General features: G+C 38.5%; 1 protein-coding gene across 1 annotated transcript in view; it reads left to right on the top strand.

Annotated features, from left to right (window-relative positions):
- PHLPP1 (PH domain and leucine rich repeat protein phosphatase 1) overlaps positions 1-20263 on the top strand; it is a 264893-nt gene that overhangs the window by 107636 nt on the left and 136994 nt on the right. The window contains exons 2-3 of the mRNA NM_194449.4: positions 6859-7055; positions 15608-15733. Coding sequence (NP_919431.2) covers positions 6859-7055; positions 15608-15733 — 323 coding nt within the window. The remainder of the gene's footprint in view (positions 1-6858; positions 7056-15607; positions 15734-20263) is intronic.

Genomic DNA, 20263 nt, shown 5'->3' on the forward strand with positions numbered 1-20263 from the left:
TAGGCTTTATTAAAATGGAAACTTTTGCTTTCTGAAAATACTCTCAAGAAAATAAAAAAGTAAGCCAGACTGGGAGAAAATATTTGCAAGTCATATATTTGACAGAAGTCTGGGCACAGCGACTCAGGCTTATAATCCTAACACGTGGGGGCCGAGGTGGAAGCATTGTTTGAGTGCAGGAATTCGAGACCAGCTTGGGCAACATAGCGACCCTGTCTCTACAAAAAATAGAAAAAAACTAGCCGGGCATGGTGGCGGGCACCTGTAGTCCCAGCTATTCAGGAGGCTTGAGGAGGGAGGATCATTTGACCCCAGAAGGTTGAGACTGTAGCAAGCTGTGATGGTGCCACTGCACTCCAGCCTGGGCAACAGCAAGACTGTCTCAAATATATATATCTATATATATCTACATATATTATATATCTACATAAATATATATATCTACATATATATGTAGATATATATAGATATCTGACAGAGGATTTATGTTAAGAATATGTAAAGGACTTAACCCAATTAAAATTGAACACAGGATTTGAATAGTTACTTTGGCAAAGAAGATATGCGGATCACAAACTTGCGAGAAGATGATTAGTCATTAGGGGAATGCAACTTAAAACCATAAGGAGATACCACTACATATGCACTAGAATGGCTAAAAGTGTTGACTGGGGGCCAGGCGCGGTGGCTTATTCCTGTAATTCCAGCACTTCGGGAGGCCGAGGTAGGTGGACCATCTGAGGTGGGCAGTTAGAGACCAGCCTGGCCAACATGGTGAAACCCCATCTCTACTAAAAATACAAAAATTAGCCAGGCGTGGTGGCGGTTGCCTGTAATCCCAACTACTTGGGAGGCTGAGGCAGGAGAATTGCTTGAACCTGGGAGGTGGAGGTTGCAGTGAGCCGAGATCATGGCATTGCACTCCAGCTGGGCAACAAGAGCGAAACTCCGTCTCAAAAAAAAAAAAAAAAATGTTGACAGGGATGTGGAGCATCGGGAACTCTCTGCACTGGTGCTGGGGATGTAAAATGGTACAAACCAGCCATTCCAATCCTAGGTATTTACCCGAGAGGAATCAAAACATTTGTCTATACCAAGACTTGTACACCAGTGTTCTCCATCAAAATAGAAAAAAAAAAAGACTGTAAAGAATTCAAGTGTCCATTAGCAGATCAATGGTTAAACTGTGGTATATTCATACAATGTAATACTACTCAGCAACAAAAAATAATGAACTCTTGCAACAACATGGATGAAAGTGACAGAAACCAGATCAGCAGTTGCCTGAGCGCGGGAGGAACTCTGGAGGGATATAGGGGGAGGGAGAAATCACAATGGGACATGAGGAAACGGCAGTGATCAATATACTTATTTTCTGGTGATGGTTTCATGTGTGTAGATACATCATATCTTATTTTATACTTTATGTAGTTTACTGTATGTCTTTTATACATTAATAAATCTGTAAAAAAAAGTGGAAGATTTTTAAAAGGTGGACGTTTCTATCATAGAAAGCATTTTGCAAAAACAATTCATGGCACTAGAAAAATACTTCACAAAACAGTGACTTTTTGGCTCTGAAAAAAATGACAAGGTCTTACTGTGAAAATAAATGTTTAAACCATTCAGGATGTAAAACAACCCCAACAAAGGCACACAAAGTATATTGCTTCAGTTTTCTTAAAGTTTTACTTATAATGGACCACCCCCACCCCCCATTTTTTTTAACAGTGGTCAAATGAGCCAATATATATACTTTTTTTTTTTTGAGACAGACTCTTGCTCTGTCACCTAGGCTGGAGTGCAGTGGCACAATCTCAGCTCAGTGCAACCTCTGCCTCCCGGGTTCAAGTGATTGTCCTCCCTCAGTCTCCCGGGTTCAAGTGATTGTCCTCCCTCAGTCTCCCGAGTAGCTAGGACTATGGGCGCCTGCCACCACGCCTGAATAATTTTTGTATTTTTAGTAGAGACGGGGTTTCGCCATCTTGGCCAGGCTGGTCTCGAGCTCCTGACCTCAAGTAATCCACCCACTTCAGCCTCCCAAAGTGCTAGGATTACAGGCATGAGCCACTGTGTCCAGCCCAATATGTACTTTCTCAAATAATGTTTTACTTTTTGGTTAAGATGTTAGTTTTGGCTTTCTGATGTAAAATTGTAAATACTTTAAAAACCAATGTATGTATATATATAAATATATCAACCAAATTATATATTATATAAATATATATTATATTTATTTTATATTTTATTACATATTATATTTATTATATATAATATATTTATATAATATATATATTTTAAAGACAAGGTCTTATTCCATCTCCCAGGCTCTGGAGTGCAGTGGCACAATCATAGTGCACTGCAGCCTTGACTTCCTGGGCTCAAGCAGACTTCTCACCTCAACTTCCTGATTAGCTGGGACTACAGGTGCCTGCCACCACTCCCAGCTAATTTTTTTATGGAGACGGGGTTTCACTATGTTGCTCAGGCTGGTCTTGAACTCCTGAGCTCAAGCAGTCTTCCCACCTTGGCCTTTTAAAGTGCTGAGATTACAGGCATAAGCCACTGCACCTGGCCCAGATACATTTTTAATTATAGCAATTACAGTAGACCTATCACTATAATACTCAGCTTTTTTTATTGGAAAAAATGTCTATCAAGATAAATATTATCTGTCTAAATAGTTTGCTAGGTAGGCTAGGCCCCCTGAGATAGGTAAACTATGTGAAAGAAGAGATGAAAAAGATAAAAGGCAAAGTGACGAGCCAATTAAAGTAGAAATAATTTTGTAAGAATAAATTCGGCTATAGGAGAAATTAATTTTAAACCACCACTTCTTCATGTTTGGAATGTGATTTAAAGAAATGGGAATAGGCTCTTGTTATTGAGTGATTTCACCATCCTTTATTCTCATGGTTATGGTCAAATAAATCTACTACAGTTATCTGACAAATCTGATGTCTGTGCATATTTATTTATTTGTTTTTTTTTTTCTGGAGGTCCATTGCTTTCATCATATTTTTAAGGTAGCTTTATATGACATGAAAAGATTGAACTAGCTTACTTACGGAGATGACAATTAAAATCCTGAATTCATGAATGTGAAGAATACATTTGTTAGAAAATAAGCTGACCTTGGGGAATGACTTATTTTATTATTTTAGATTTATGGTCACAAAATATAAGCATCTATTTGTGGTTGCGGAAGTGCAGGTCTCAGGCCTTGGCTACCAATGTTTCAAATCTAGGGCTGCGGTAGTAGACAGAAATCTAAGTGATACTAATATACGTGGTCCTTGGACTACATTTTTAGAGGTTTTGCTTTATATGGTTTTTGGACTACATTTTTATAGATTTTGCTTTAAGCAATTTGGCGCAGAGAACATTTTCTTGATACCTCTAGCATCTAGCATAGTGGCTTATAACGGACATTAGATGCTCTTTTTTGCCCCCTCTTTAAAAAAACAATTTTACTATGTGAAATAAGAACTGTCATTTTGGTGTGGGAGAGGAGCCTTGAGTATGTAATCAAGATCCAGAGGCCATCCGGGCGCGGTGGTTCATGCCTGTAATCCCAGCACTTTGGGAGGCCGAGGTGGGTGGATCACGAGGTCAGGAGTTTGAGACCAGCCTGGCCAATATGGGGAAACCTGTCTCTATTAAAAATACAAAAATTAGCCGGGCATGGTGGCACACGTCTGTAGTCCGAGGTACTTGGGAGGCTGAGGCAGAAGAATCAATTGAACCTGGGAGGCGGAGGTATCAGTGAGCCGAGATCATGCCACTGCACTCCAGCCTGGGTGACAGAGTGAGACCCTGTCTCAAAAAATAAATAAATAAAATAAAATAATCCAGAGGCTCTAGTTTGATTCTTTAGCATTGTGCTGTAATTTTCTACAAGTGGTCCCATGCCTGGTTTTTAAATAGACTAGTATAGATCACCTTACCTACTATGTGCCAAGTGCGTAAGTAAAAGAGAAAGTATATGAATATGTTTTCAAATCACTCTCTGTTGTTATGTTTCTGTCTCAGCTTGAAATGTTTGCTTTTACGTCTATTTTTCCTCCTGGATCATGTAAAAATGCCTTAAGCCTGTAGGGAATTAGAGTAACATTTCTAAAGTAAAAGTTACAACTGACCCAGCTTTAAACTGGCAGACATGAGTTACTTTGGTATTGTCAGTGTTTATTAGAGAATAGGGCAACTGGAATTCCTCTGAGTTGAGAATTTTGAGAATTGGCAGGAAGAGCAAAAATATTCCTTATGTTGTAGAACAAGGAAGTCTGTTAAAAAGGAGGGTGCACCTGGGTGATTGTCTAGGTATATATTACCTCATTCATCTCCATATTCCCCAGGGCCCACTTAGTACACAGCCATGTCCTAAGGATGTGTCTGATCTGGTACACCCAGGGAGAGGACAGACAATAGGGACATTGAAGTTCATTCAGAGCAAGACCAGAGGGATTTAATTCATACTGGGATCTTTAGGGTTTTCCAAGGACAGGCTGATCTGACTGTTGGGCTCCAGGACAATTCAGAACTCTTGGGAATTTTTCTGACTAGGGAATAAAGAGCCAGTATCTACTGATGTATCCATACTCTTCTGTTAAAGATCCCTTCTGGCCTTTGTCCAGTCTGTCTGGTGATTTGCTCTGGGGCTTTCTGTAGGATGTATATGGAGTTGGAGAATTGAAGGGCCAGCCCTTATGTACCCCTGTTCCCTTTTCTTCCAGTCTCTGGTTCTTCATAGAGCTGCATAAATGTGACAGGTTAACAAGTATTCTTGAAGCCACTCTCTGATGGACTGAATAAAATGCCTACTTCTTTGCATTTGTGTGTGTGTGTGTGTGTGTGTGTGTGTGTGTGTGTAGATCAGATCCCTTTTTAGCATTAGTTTATTATGTCAAGGAAATTGGAGTTTGGAAACCCAGTTGCCTATTGTCCATTGTTTTTAGTCCTTCACTTGCTTTTCATTTTTATTATTCTTTGTCTTTTCTTCTCTCTTACTTCTTCCCCACAGGAAGAGAGTCTGTCATATAGTAAGGAGCTCTTAGACTGGAAACCCCGGCATCTTCCTCTCTAGATATAAATGAACTTGTGCAGAATGGGACATGTGAATCACTGTGTCTGATCCATCATTGGCAGCCCTTGGCCTGTCACATCTCACATGTTTTAAATAATCTTCTGGGCTTCCTACTCATTTGTGGGAAAACTAACATGTGGTAGACAAACAATATGGTACCTTTCCAGTGAGAGCTCTAACAGTGTAGCTGTTTGCTGGGCACCTGGTTCAAGTAGCTGAATCACTGTTATACTTCATCCTGGCCCAGCCTCAGCAAAATTTTGTAGTGTGAAGTATTTATTTTATAAAACATTTTGATATGGGAGAAAGAAGAAGTGAAATTCGAACCTGTGGCTTATTTCCTAACATCTGTGCCCAAAGTATGTATTGGGAACGTTCAGATACTCTTTGGAGTTTCTTGTTATTTATTTTTAGAGCTGTTGTTCTTCCTGTTCCCTAATAGGTTTTAGACATGTATCAAAACCACTTGGTATTTATGTTGGTTTTTAATATTAATAAGAATATAATTTATCTTGAACCTATTTCTTTTGCTAGCCCTTGGCAACTAGTCCAACTTCTAAATAAATATGTTATTCCTGACTGGGGTCCTACTATAGTACATATATCTCTTATTAACTTATCTCTGGGCAGAGGCTTTGGTACTCTGAAATTATCTGTTCAGTATCTAGAAATGGGGAAATACTTTTCTGGTTGCTTATATGACTGTCACTATGTTCATGTCAATCACAGTAGTTCTCCCATTAAGTTGATAAGACTTGCCTAACTAATTCTGCCAAATTCGTTTCCATTTGGGAAGTGAAGACTCTTCAGACCTTTCTCAGTTCTCTTTCTGCCTTTCAGCCTCATTGCTTATTTCTCTGTCTCTGTGCTCCTTACCATGAGTCATAAGCATTGTAGGACCCATTCTTCATGGATTGCTGGGATAGTATTTCTAATAGGAAATAATAGTGTTTTTTTAAGAAAAATATTTCTTTTCTAATGTTTCCTTTACAGTAAATATACATTGAATATCTGTAGGAGGAAAAACTCTGCAGTTAATTTTATTAAACTGATTAGTTTTATTAAATGTAAGATGTTGGATGTTATTTTCCTATCTCAGGCTATAATACTTTCTTCTTAGTGTATTTAAATCTAACCATTCATAAACATCATGAAGTCGTTTCAAATGTAAAATTAACTTGTGAAAGATAGGCAAGAAAATAAAACTCCAACCCAGGCGTGGTGGCTCACGCCTGTAATCCCAGCACTTTGGGAGGCTGAGGCGGGCGGATCACCTGAGGTCGGGAATTTGAGACCAGCCTGACCAACATGGTGAAACCCCGTCTCTACTAAAAATACAAAAAATTTAGTCGTGTGGTGGCCGGCACCTGTAGTCCCAGCTACATGGGAGGCTGAGGCAGGAGAATTGCTTGAACCTGGGAGGCAGAGGTTGCAATTAGTCGAGATTGCGCCACTGCACTCCAGCCTGGGTGACAGAGCGAAACTCCATCTCAAAAAAAAAGAAAAGAAACCTCTAGTTAAAACAAAGAGTTAAAATGGTGTTTTCCTATGATTTTATGGAAAAGGCTCTTCACTTATTGTTACGTGTACATGTGGAGATGTAGTTCTTACCATAATTCCATTATGACAGTTGTCATCTCAATTATAAATTAGATTGAATTTATAATTTTCCCTTGAATTATTCCCTTGTTGTCCAATTCATATATCTGCTATGTAGATGAGTAGGAAAAGGGTCCATTTTAAAAGAATAACATGTTTGCTTCTGTTTATTTCAGGAAAACCTCACAGCACGGGTAGCTCTGAACGGATTCAGCTCTCAGGAATGTATAATGTCCGTAAAGGCAAGATGCAGTTGCCAGTGAACCGATGGACAAGACGCCAAGTCATCCTATGTGGGACCTGCCTGATAGTATCATCTGTGAAAGACAGCTTGACCGGAAAGATGCATGTTCTGCCACTAATTGGTGGAAAAGTAAGTTTGTTTGTTTGTTTGTTTATTGAGTCAGAGTCTCACTCTGTCACCCAGGCTCAAGTGTAGTGGCGTGGTCTCAACTCACTGCAACCTCTGCCTCCTGAGTTCAAGCGATTCTCCTGCCTCAGCCAGGATTACAGGCGTGCACCACCACACCTGGCTAATTTTTGTATTTTTAGTAGAGATGGGGTTTCACCATGTTGGCCAGGCTGGTCTTGAACTCCTGACCTCAAGTGATCTGCCCACCTCGGCCTCCCAAAGTGCTGGGATTACAGGTGTGAGCCACCATGCCAGGCCGAAAAGTAAGTTTAAAACAAACAAAATACTAACAGGTTTCCCACCATCAGTAAGGACCTTACTTTGAGCCATTTCTGTGATATGGGGTAGATGATTTTTTACTCATCTGAGGTCTTATTCAGTTCCTGTTGTGGGTGTTGTCGGTTGGTGGAGCTGTGGGGAAAAAACAGTGCCATTGGCTCATGTGAGGCCTTGATGATTATTGTTTCATTAGTTATGTGCATTTTACCTACTGGACAGAAAATAGGTAGAATTTTATTGTCATATGTCAGAGTTTAGATGATAAATTCGTTACTTATGAGTTGATATCTTAAGCATACATTTTCTAGTAGAGTATACTCATCCTTAATTTCGTGAATTTAGAAACATTGACACATGCGGAGGGTTTGAGTCTATAGTGCTTAAGTCTTTGACCACATTTTCCCCTATCTGTGTTTAGTGATCAGTGGGGTTAGCATTTTTAGTTTATTAAGTGCCTAGTTATAAATTTTGAATCTTAAATGTTTCTCATTTCGGAGAAAATGTGATGCAACGGATATATTTTTGACATTACTGATTTCTTTGCTTTGGGTATGTTAACTATTTTATTGCTATTATTTATAAAATAGAACCAGATTACTTGGGGAAATGTTACATTATTTTCTTTGTCAGAGTTATTTATAAAGTCCCAAGCATTGGTAAGGGTAGCATCACCATACTTATAGGTCAGTATTTCTTGATTTTTAAGTGATATGTTAATAAATGGAAATTAGGATTTGGATGAGAAAATGGGTCATTGGGGGCACATTGAGCAAATATTTTCTTTTTCTTTTTCTTTTTTTTTTTTTGAGATGGAGTCTTGCTCTGTTTCCCAGGCTGGAGTGTGGTGGTGCAATCCCAGCTCACTGCAACCTCTGCCTCCCGGGTTCAAGTGATTCTCCTGCCTCAGCCTCCCAAGTAGCTGGGACTACAGGCGCATGACACCATATCCAGCTAATTTTTTGTATTTTTAGTAGAGACAGGGTTTCACCATGTTAGCCAGGATGGTCTTGATCTCCTGACCTCGTGATTCACCCACTTTGGCCTCCCAGAGTGCTGAGATTACAGGCATGAGCCACTGTGCCTGGCCTAAGTAAACCATTTGTTAATTGGTTGTCTAAATGTCTGATCTGTTTCAAGGGTTGTAAGTGAAGGAAGTAAGACCACATGTGTATGGTAATAAATGGTTTTGTTGCTCACTGCTGTGTAGCAAGCACATTCTTGTAGTCTTTCCTTATGAATAAATAGCCTATGTTAGTTTTTTCCTCTCTATTCTAGTTTCAAGAAGGCTAATACTTGATCATTTTCAAAAATAGGTTTTGGTCAGGCTGTGCAAGATGCGTTTAGATTGATTTTAGTCGTTCATTTTGAAACCAATGCTGCTTAACTTTTGTCGGAGCATTGAAGAGTTAGTGACTGATATACTAAGATTTTGCCCTGTGGATGGATGGATTACTGAAAAAATACTCATCTGTATTACCACTATAGGTTATTAAAAATGCATATTTAATGTTTGATACTTTGTTAGGTCAACAGTCTCTCTCTTTGTGATGCTGGGTGTTTGCATAGGCAAATCTAATATAACTATTCAGTATCCTCTTTGGGGAAGGCACTGTGCTTGGCACCCCAGAAATACTAACATAGCTAAATAACCCTGCCTGCCTTTGAAGAGCTTATGATTTTGTATCAGAAGATGAAGTAGGCACAATGATATCTGTTGTAAGAAAGATGCAGGAAGGTACTGTGGGGGATTAATGGAAGGAGAGATTACATTTTTTCGGGTAAGAGGGAATTTTGTAATGAAAGGTAGCAATTATGATAGAATTTGAAGGATGAAAAGTCTTTTGACATGTGAAGGAGATGGTCAGAAAGATTATTATGCTTATAGAGGCAGAGGCAGGAAAGCACATGGAATGTTCAGATAAGGTCAGCAGATCCGGTTATAATTAGCATTTTCATTCAGTACTAGAGTCTTGTCCTGTTTCCCAGGTCTGTTACTGGATGGTCTTCTACCACTGAGTGAATTGAAAGTTAATAGCTTCCTCTTTTCACAAGCAAAACTTGTAAAACCTGTTTTATACTATGCCTTTAAAAAATAATTGACTACATTGAAAAATTGAGTCTTTAATATCTGTTGACTGAGTTAGGGAAAAATAATTGATTTCTTGCAATTTGAGCTTTCATTAATTTTTGTCTGTTGTTGTTTTTTTTTATCCTGTTCTATTGTTAAAGAAAAAACTGAGAGTATGAATGAAAGGAGTTTTATTTTTTCTTTTTAATTTAGATATAGAAGAGCTATAGATTTAGAAATAAGGTGTGAGATAGATTGGTCATAACCTAGTTAGAATTGCTGTGGTTTCATACCACGTGAGCATGGTCATTACTTTACATATATGGCTTTGCTGTTAAATAAAACTCTCAAAATTTAGTTATTGAAAGAGTATTTAATAGATACATTTATATTATGCAGTTTTAATGTTGTATTTAACTTGTCCTATAGAATTTAACATAGATTTTTAAATAATGTATTATTATTATTTTTTTAAAAAGACAGTCTTGCTTTGTCATCCAGGCTGGAGTGCAGTGGTGCGATCTTGGGTCACTGCACTCTCTGCCTCCCGGGTTCAAGCGATTCTCCTGCCTCAGCCTCCTGAGTAGCTGGGACTGCAGGTGCACACCACCATGCCCGGCCAATTTTTGTACTTTTAGTAGAGACAGGGTTTCACCGTGTTGGCCAGGCTGGTCTTGAACTCCTGATCTCAAGTGATCCGCCTGCTTCGGCCTCCCATAGTGCTGGGATTACAGGCGTGAGCCACCACGCCTGGCCAGATAATACTGTATTTTAATTAATATTTGTTAAATTATGAAGTATAATAAATTGAAGAATTGTCAGCCACTACTGAATTTAGGAACTGTGGGGATATCAATACCAGAGTTTCTTCTACCTGTGTTCTCTTTACATATATCTCATTGCCTCCCCTAGCCCTAGAAGGATTCACTGTCCTAGAATGTATATTCCTCATTTTTTCCTTTTTTGAAATAAGTTTTACCGTGTATCTATATTTTGCTTGTTTTTGATGTGTATAAAAGTGATAAATTGCTGTGGTCTTCTGTAATTGAATTTATTCACCTAATACAATGTTTCATAATAAGATTACATGTTACTTATGTGGTTTTCATTTCTCTATAATGTCTACTGTAAACATTCCACAATTTTCATAATTCCTTAAGTAATTTTCCTGCTGATGGACATTTGGGTTGCTTTCAGTTTGTTGTTGTTATAATAACAACAGTGCTGCTGCTATAGTCTCATGTTGATATGCCTCCTGGTATGCAAGTACCTTTTCTAAGACAGTAGTTTGCGAGTGGAGTTACTATGCTGAAGGGACATTTGGTTATATGTAGGAATGTTTTGATGGTCAGATGATTGAACAGTGAACATTATCAGTTAATATAAGCATAAGTAATGCCCTGGTAACACCCCTCTTTTCCCCCCAATCTTAGTGACTTGTCATAACAGTTATTTCTCACATTGTCTGTTGTGGGTCAGTGGGGTTGGGGGGTGGGCGTTTCTTTTGTCACACAGTTGTTCAGGGACCCAGCCTGATGAAGTCTTGGCTCTTTTATACTTCCCTTTGTTGTTTTGGCAAGGGAAGAGGTAATTGGAGCATCATTCATGGGCCTTGTATGTTTGGATGCAGAAGTGACACATGCCACTTCTCTCTGTGGCTCATTGGCCAGAACTAGTCACATCGCTCCACCTTAATTGCAAGGGGTCTGAGAAATGTGGAGTAGATAGAGTGATTGGTGAATAACATTATCTTTGCTGCAGGGGACACTCTTGGCATTTAAAGGCAGAGGCGAGAGTTTAAAATATTGTGCAAAGTATTAGAGAGTTCTGCATAGGGGACAATGAAGAACTATTCAATCCACAATTCCTATAATGATCTCCTTGAGAAATACTACTGTTGGGTATACACTTTGGAGCTCGGTTACTGGGCTCTGGGACATACACACATCTACTTTCGCAAGATGATACCAAGTTGTTTTTCAGGGTCGATGTACCATTTTGCATTCACATCAGTGTACAAGTGTTGTTTCTCCACATCTTCACCAACACTTTACTGACGTGTAATTGACAACAATAAACTGCACATTTCAGTTTTATAACTGTACACTCCAGTTAACACAATTTGATAGCTGTATACCCCCATTAAACCATCACGGCAACCAGGATAGTGACCATGTTCATTATTCCCAGAAGTTTCCTCGTGTCCCTTTGTTCTCCTTTCCTCCCACCCTTTTATTTTCCTTTCCTCCCACCCTCTCCCACTCCTCTCCATCCCTAAGAAACCTTTTGCTTGATATCTGTCAATTTGTTTACACAGCATTTTTTAAAAAATCGTATTTTCTGTTTGGTTTATAGAAACACAGTTGGTTTTTGAGTATTGATCTTGAGTATTGATTTATCGTCTTGCTAAATGTTCTGGTTTATTCTAATATGATGCCTGTAGGTTTTTTTGTTTACTGTATAGTTAATCATATAATATTCAAATGATGACAGGTTTCTTCCTTTTCTTTGTCTTACTGTTACGGGCAGGAAGATCTAGTACAGTGTTGAATAGAAACAGTAGATACTTATCAATGATCCTTTTTTTTTTCCTTTTTTTTTTTGAGACAGAGTCTGTCTCTTGTCACGCAGGCTGGAGTGCAGTGGTGCATTCTTGGTTCACTGCAACCTCTGTCTCCCGGGTTCAAGCCATTCTCCTGCCTCAGCCTCCCGAGTAGCTGGGACTACAGGCGCATGCCACCACACACAGCTAATTTTTGTATTTTTAGTAGAGACTGGGTTTCATCATGTTGACCAGGCTGGTCTTCTGACCTCAGGTGACCCCCCTGCCTCGGCCTCCTAAAGTGCTGGGATTACAGGTGTGAGCCACCGCACCTGGCTCCTTATCAATGATCTTGAGAATGATATCTCATCATTAACATTGAAGTTTGCTTTAGATGTTTGATAAATACCCTTGGTCAGTTTAAGTGAGTTTTTATTTTCTGAGTTTGCTGAGAATTTTTATTCTTCATTTCAGCCTGAATGAAGTTACTAACAGCTTTTTCTGCAACTGTGGGGTTAATAGTATGGGTGTCTTTAATCCGTTAATGTGATTAATGGTTTTATAGTTCTAATTACGTTAAACTGTCTTTCTTTATCTGAGGTAAATTCAACTGGTTCTTTTTTTTTTTTTTTTTTTTTTGAGGCGGAGTCTTGCTGTGTTGCCCAGGCTGGAGCACACTGGCACAATATCAGCTCACTGCATCCTCCACCTCCCGGGTTCAAGCGATTCTCCTGCCTCAGCCTCCTGAGTACCTGGGATTACAGGCATGCACCACCACGCCCGACTAATTTTTGTATTTTTAGTAGAAGTGGGGTTTCACCATGTTGGCCAGGCTGGTCTCAAACTCCTGACCTCAAATGATTCGCCTGCCTCAGCCTTCCAAAGTATTGGGATTATAGGGGTGAGCCACCGTGCCCGGCCTTGTTCTTGATACATATATATATTTTTAAATTACTGGGTTTTCTAAAATAAATAAATAAATTAATTAATTAAAAGGCTGGGAATGGTGGCTGATGTCTGTAATCCCAGCACTTGAGAGGCTGAGGCGGGTTGATCACGAGGTCAGGAGTTCAAGACCAGACTGGCCAAGATGGTGAAACCCTGTCTTTACTAAAAATACAAAAATTGGTGGCGCAGTGGCAGGCGCCTGTAATCCCAGTTACTTGGGAGGCTGAGGCAGGAGAATCGCTTGAACCTGGGAGGCAGAGGTTGCAGTGAGCTGAGATCGTGCCACTGCACTGCAGCCTGGGCAACAGAGCGAGACTCCATCTAAAAATAAATAAATAAATAAATAAATAAATAAATAAATAAATAAATAAATAAATAAAAATAAATTACTGGATTTTGATGCAACATTTTGTTCAAGATAAATCTTTGTGACCATGGTTACCTGTAAGTTTCCTTTCTGTTACTGTTCTCATGTGGGTCTTGGTTATACTATCCTCATAGAATGGGTTGGGGTGTTTTCCTTCATTTTTTTGTTTGCTGGATGAGTTTGCATGAGTTTGGATTGATCTATTTTTTGAAACTTTGGTAAAAGTTACCTGTAAAGCTATATGGGCCTGATTTTTTTTGAGACATTAAAAAAAAAAAAAACTTCTATATTTTAAATGGCTATATAGGGGCCAGGCGTGGCTCATGCCTATAATCCCAGCACTTTGGGAGGCCAAGGCTGTAATCCCATCTACTCAAGAGGTTGAGATAGGAGAATCGCTTGCAATCGGAAGGCGGAGTTTGCAGTGAGCTAAGATTGCACCACTGCACTCCAGCCTGGGCAAGGAGTGAAATTCCGTCTCAAAAACAAAGTTATAGGACTATTCAATTTTTGTTTTGTTTTGTTAACACTGGATTTTACTCCATTGTACAGGTTGGAGTGCAGTGGTATAGTTACTCCACACTATAGCCTTGACCTCCCCAGGCTTGGGCGATTTCCCCACTTTAGACTTCTGAGTAGCTATAGGACTACAAGGTGTGCGCTGCCACACCCAGCTAACTTTTGTTTTTCTGTTTTTTGTAGAGATAAGGTTTTGCCATGTTGCACAGGTTGATCTCCAACTCCTGGGCTCAAGCGATCTGTCCCTCTAGGTCTCCCGAAGTGCTGGGATTACAAGTGTGAGCCTGCACCTGGCTGATAGGACTATTTAGGCTTTTGGTTTTTCTTTATTTAGTAGTATTGGTAAAACATATTTTTTCTAAGAATTTGTCACAAAATTGTTCATAATATTCTCTTCTTAATCTCTGGCGAATCTGTAGCTGTGTCTCCCTTTTTATTGTTAATTGTTAATATTATTTATAAGTGTCTCTGCTCTCTTTTTCTTGCCAGAGGATGTATCCATTTTTCTTGCCAGAGTATTTATCAATTGTACTAGTTTTCTTGAAGAATCAGTATTTTGCTTTGTTAATGTTTTCTCTTACATATTTGGTTTTCATTTCACCAATTGCTAGTTTTTATCATAGCCTTCTTTCAATTTTGGATTTATTCAATTTGGAGGTTTGATTTTATTTTTTTCCTTCCAAGTTTTTTTTTTTTTTGGAGACAGAGTCTTGCTCTGTCACCCAGGCTGGATCTCAGCTCACTGCAACCTCTGCCTCCTGGGTTTAAGCGATCCTCCCACCTCAGCCTCCCCAGTAGCTGGGACTACAGGCACCCACCACCGCTCCTAGCTGTAAGGTTTTTTTTGTATTTTTAGTAGAGAGGGGTTTTACCATGTTGACCAGGCTGGTCTCGAACTCCTGACCTCAGGTGATCCACCTGCCTCGGCCTCCCAAAGTGGTGGGATTACAGGCGTGAGCCACCACGCCCAGGCTTCCTTCCAAGTTCTTAAGGTGCATGCCGAGCAAATTAATGTTCTACCTTCTTTTCCAATATGACTATCAAAAGATACACGAGTTCAATTGAAAAAAATATATATATATATAAATTTCCCTTTGTATATCTTCTTTTATTGCAACATACAGATTTTGATATGTAGTTTTTCTAGAATTATTTAGTTCTAAGCGTTTTAAGATTTTGGTTGTAATTTCTCCTTGCACCTGTGAGTTGTTTAGAAGTTTGTTATTAAGTTTCCAAACATAGAAGTTTGTATAATGTTACTTTTGGTGTGTATTTTTCCCCTTGTGAAGAACTTACAAGGAGTGGAAATTTGATTTGACTGTATTTCACTGCATCATTAGGACTTGAAAGTTCTCATGGTAGGGTTTTATTACAGGTTAATTTCAGTTTAACAGTAATGTTTTCAATACTTATTTAATATGCTTGAAGACTTCTTAAGTAAAAATTCCTAAGTAAAATCTTAAGTAAAAATTCTAAGAGGAAGTAAGAACCCCAGCACCCTATTGTGAGGTTAGAAGAATAAGAAAGGGAGTCTGGACTAATTTTAAACAGAAAGAGGAGAATTTCACTGTGGTGGGGAAATATAGTAAAGATAAAACTCCCCCTTTTTTGGTTTCTTTGTAATTCAAATTGGGTGATCATATGCAGGAACTTAGTTCTCATTAATGAGTAACATATATAGGGAAACATGCAAATCCATGCAGGCTCCTTGATCAGAGGCATAGTTAGTGAAATACATCAGTGGTTCTGCTGTCTGACTTGTTTCTGCTTCTCTCTGTTTGCTTTTATAGGTAGAAGAAGTGAAAAAGCACCAACACTGTTTAGCATTTAGCTCCTCTGGACCCCAAAGCCAGACTTACTACATTTGCTTTGATACTTTCACAGAATACTTAAGGTGGCTGCGACAAGTCTCCAAGGTAAGCAAGCACTTAATCCAGGAATCCACTCAGCTTCTAGCTGGCTACAAAGTTCCTTTCTGCTTTAGCTGGGTCTAAAATATGGTTAGTTACACACACTTTTTTTTTCCTCCCCAGATACTGCCAGTGATTAGCAATTTTTAGTTTTTTAAAAACTAATTTTGCCTGAAAAGTGGCTTTTTAAAAATTGTTTTTTACTTGCCCAGTTTATACTTAAAAATAAATTGGTCTGTAAACAGGCATTACTATCTTAATGTTGTAGATAAAAAACATGAGATTGGGAATATTTGAGGGACTGACCCAGGCTAAGACAACTATAAAACCACAAAATACCCAGAGAATTGTTACAAATTTCCCTTCTTTCTCTGACTGTTTTTTCATATAAATAGTCTAATATTATACCATCTCCCCTTCACCTTTATTCTGCCTTTTCAGTGATTTAATTTTTTATCTTATTTTGGCCATTTTATATTCCTCTGATTTAATAAGATCACCATGTCCCATGAAATAATATATAGTACTTTTGGCCAGGCACACTGGCTCACTCCTGTAATCCCAGCACTTTGGAAGGCTGAGACAGGCAGATCACTTGAGTTCAGGAGTTTGAGACCAGCCTGGCCAAAATGGTGAAACCCCATCTCTACTAAAAATACAAAAAAATTAGCCAGGCATGATGGTACGCACCTGTAGTCCCAGATACTTGGGAGGCTGAGGCACGAAAATTGCGAACTGGGAAGGTGGAGGTTGCAATGAGCCGAGATTGCACCATTACACTACAGCCTTGGTGACAGAGTGAGACTCTGACTTAAAAAAAAAATATATATATATGTATATATATAATATAATATATAATTATATATAATATATATTTTATAATATATATATATAATATCTAGTGCTTTTGTGTTTAATGTAAACCAGAATCACATTATAAATAAGACAAATAAATGCTGATATTTCAGGTAACCTGTGTAAGAATGTTTTTATATCTCATTTAGAGAATTAAGTGTAAAATAATGGGGTGGATTGCAGTCCTTAGTGCCTTGGTTTGGGTGTTGTTTTTGAAATGACAAAATCTCTCTAGGGTGCCAGGAGCATTACAATGGAATATGCTTTCATATTTTTGAATTGGTAATTTAACTTGTTATCCAAGTTCAGTGTGATTCAGATTGCTGTGTGATGTAATTATTTGTCAAGTGAATGAGTAAGGGAATAACTTTGGAAAACAGTTAAGAGAAAATTTGAGAACAGTATCTAGAAAATCATTTTGAAATACTGGCCACATTTGAATTACCAGGTAAAAACCATTGCCTGATGATGAGATATCATTTAGGAGAGTTGGTTTCTCTTCCTTTTAGAGAAGAAGCAATGGGTAGAGAGTTTCGGTTGATAGGGCTTAGAAAATTCTCTCAACCTAATAGACAAATGGAGGTTCTAAATGTGTAAGGCAGCACTCCTGCAGGGAAAAGTAGGGAAGAGGACCCTTGTCCTTCAGATTCACATGTAGAATTAATGTGATATTAGAAGTATACTTGTCTGGTTTTAAAATTATTCATATGTTTACAAATGTGAGGAGATGAGGAGATATTAAATACCATTGGGCTTTTATATTTATAATTTATCATTTTTATTGTGCTTTTGTATGTATTTATATCAAAGTGGTTTTATGGGTTGAAAGCAGTGAGTCAATTGCCTACGCTCTGCTTTGTTCAGAATAAAATGCCTAACTAGGATCAAAGTGCAGCACATTTCTTTCTGTATAGAGATGTTGATATTTTAAATCAACTTTTAAATTATTAACTTTTTCTTTATTTTGGAATACTTTTATAATTACAGAGAAGTTGCAAAGATAGTACAGAGAGTTCTCAAACATAGTTTCCCAACCCCCTCACTCAGTTTAGCAGATGTATTACCACAATATATCTCTCAAGTATAAGAAACCATCATTAGTACTTAACTCTGAACTAACCTGTGGAATTTATTTTTTTGTTTTTGTTTGAGACAGAGCCTTGCTGTGTCATCCAGGCTGGAGTGCAGTGGCACGATCTTGGGTCACTACAACCTCCACCTCCTGGGTTCAAGCAATTCTCCTACCTCAGTCTCCTGAGTAGCTGAGATTAAAGGCATGTGCACATGCCTGGCTAATTTTTGTATTTTTAGTAGAGATGGGGTTTCACTATGTTGGCCAGGCTGGTTTTGAACTCCTGACCTCAAGTGATCCACCTGCCTTGACCTTTCAAAGTGCTGGGACTATAGGCGTGAGCCACTGCGCCTGGCCTTTATTTGGATTTCACTAGTTTTTCCATTGCCTTTTTTCTGTTTCAAGATCTAATTCAAGATACCACATTGCATTTGATTGTCATGTCTCTTTTGTCTCCTCTAGTGTGTGACAGTTTTTCACTTTTCTGTTTTTCTTTCTCTCTTTTTTTTTTTTTTTTTTTGAGATGGAGTCTCGCTCTGTCGCCCAGGCTGGAGTGTAATGGGACGGTCTTGGCTCACTGCAACCTATGCCTCCTGGGTTCAAGCAATTCTCCCATCTCAGCCTACTGAGTAGCTTTGACTACAGGCACATGCCACCATACCCGGCTAATTTTTTGTGTTTTTAGTAGAGATGGGGTTTCACTATGTTGGCAAGGCTAGTGTCCAACTCCTGACCTCATGATCCACCTGCTTAGGCCTACCAAAGTGCTGGGATTACAGGTGTGAGCCACTGCACCTGGCTTACTTTTCTGTGTTTTTCATGACCTTGACAGTTTTGAGGAATACTGATGAGGTATTCCTCAAAAGTGCTGAAATGCCTTGCAGTTGTATGTAGACAGTAATTCACACACATTTACATATACAGCATACATTTTATACTTACAATAAGTGGAGCTTAGTATTTCTAAGAGGGCAGAGGGACTTTGATTTGATTATCTTAGATTACTGGTATTGACTACAACTAATTAGAATAAGACCTTCTTTCCTTTTAGAAAGGCTTTGATTAGAGAAGCTGTGTAGTGTTGGGGTCAAGAGTTTGAGTTTCAAAGTAAGGCAGGCATGGATTCCACCATTTCCTAGCCATGTGGCTATATCTAAGTTCCAAGTTTTAAACTTTTTCATCTAATAAGGGGAATAATAATAATAATAGTACTTACCTTTTAGGGCTTATTTGAGATATGCATATAATAGATTTATACTGGCACATAGTAAGTGAGTAGAACTAACTAACTCAATAAAATAATTTTATGATGGTCATCCTTGATGGGTCAAATAATATTTTAAAGTATTATCTATTTGTAATGTGTATTTTCAGCATATAAAGACACGGGTCTTAGTTTGTCTGAACAAGTTACCTTTTGCTGCTCTTAACAACCATGGCAGCCTTTTGGGGAAAGGATGGCAGACATTGGGGAAATGATTTCCTCCTGAGAAGTTGGGGTGGGGAACAGAGGGTGTTACATTTTAGTAAATGCAGACTTTTTTTTTTTTTGAGATGGAGTCTTGCTCTGTCGCTGAGCCTGGAGTGCAGTAGTGTGATTTTAGCTCACTGCAACCTCCATCTCCCGGGTTCAAGCAATTCCCACCTCAGCCTCCTGAGTAGCTGGGATTACAGGCGTGCGCCACCATGCCGGGCTAATTTTTTTGTATTTTTAGTAGAAACGGGATTTCACCATGTTGGCCAGGCTGGTCTTGAACTCCTGACCTCAGATGATCCGCCTGCCTCAGCCTCCCAAAGTGCTGGGATTACAGGCGTGAGCCACCGTGCCTGGCCTAGTAAATGCAGATTTTCAATACACTACTTTTCCCTTCTCCAATTTTAAAAACCAGATATATATTTCAAAAATGTTTAGCAGTTACAGTTGGTGAATTAAGGACAAATGAATTGTAAAGGACTGATTAAAAGAGGTTAGATATTATAAAAGAAATGGGTGAAGGAACTCCCTGTTTGGGTTTGAATCCTATGTAAAACATGGCCACACCCTTCTTTAAGCATTATGTGTCGAGGATAATCTTTTGATAATGTCTTTTCCTTTTTAACCTAGCATCTAGGGAGAGTAGACTAGAATCTCGCTCCATTTGGGAATATATGCCTACAGGGAATTTGACATGGATAAGGATGATTGTTACAAGCTCCTTCAGCTTCCAGTTTCCCCCTTCAATTGTCATCTGCTCTTCTTCCTATGTAGGTATTAGGAAGTTATATCATTTAGTAACACTCACTGTTACTATGGAAATGTTTAGTTTCTTTTCTTCATATTGAGAAACAAAACATTCTCAGAATGGATAGTCTTTACATCTTGATGTTTAGATAAGGATTCATTTTGATAAGGACCTAAAAGAAAAACAAACCAACAACAGGAACAAAAGTTTCTGATTATTAGTAACTGTCCCCACTCCAGAGTAGGAGGGCAAAAAAGAAACAAATTTCCATTATTTTTAAATTAAAATGAATTAAGGAAGTAATTTAAAAGGAAAGTTCTTTATTTTCAGTTTATTTTTCTGGATTTTCAGCTACAAGAGAAATGTTATTTTTTGTTCTAATTTGTT

The sequence above is a fragment of the Homo sapiens genome, chromosome 18 (assembly GCF_000001405.40).
Source record: "Homo sapiens chromosome 18, GRCh38.p14 Primary Assembly".
NCBI classification, from domain to species: domain Eukaryota; kingdom Metazoa; phylum Chordata; class Mammalia; order Primates; family Hominidae; genus Homo; species Homo sapiens.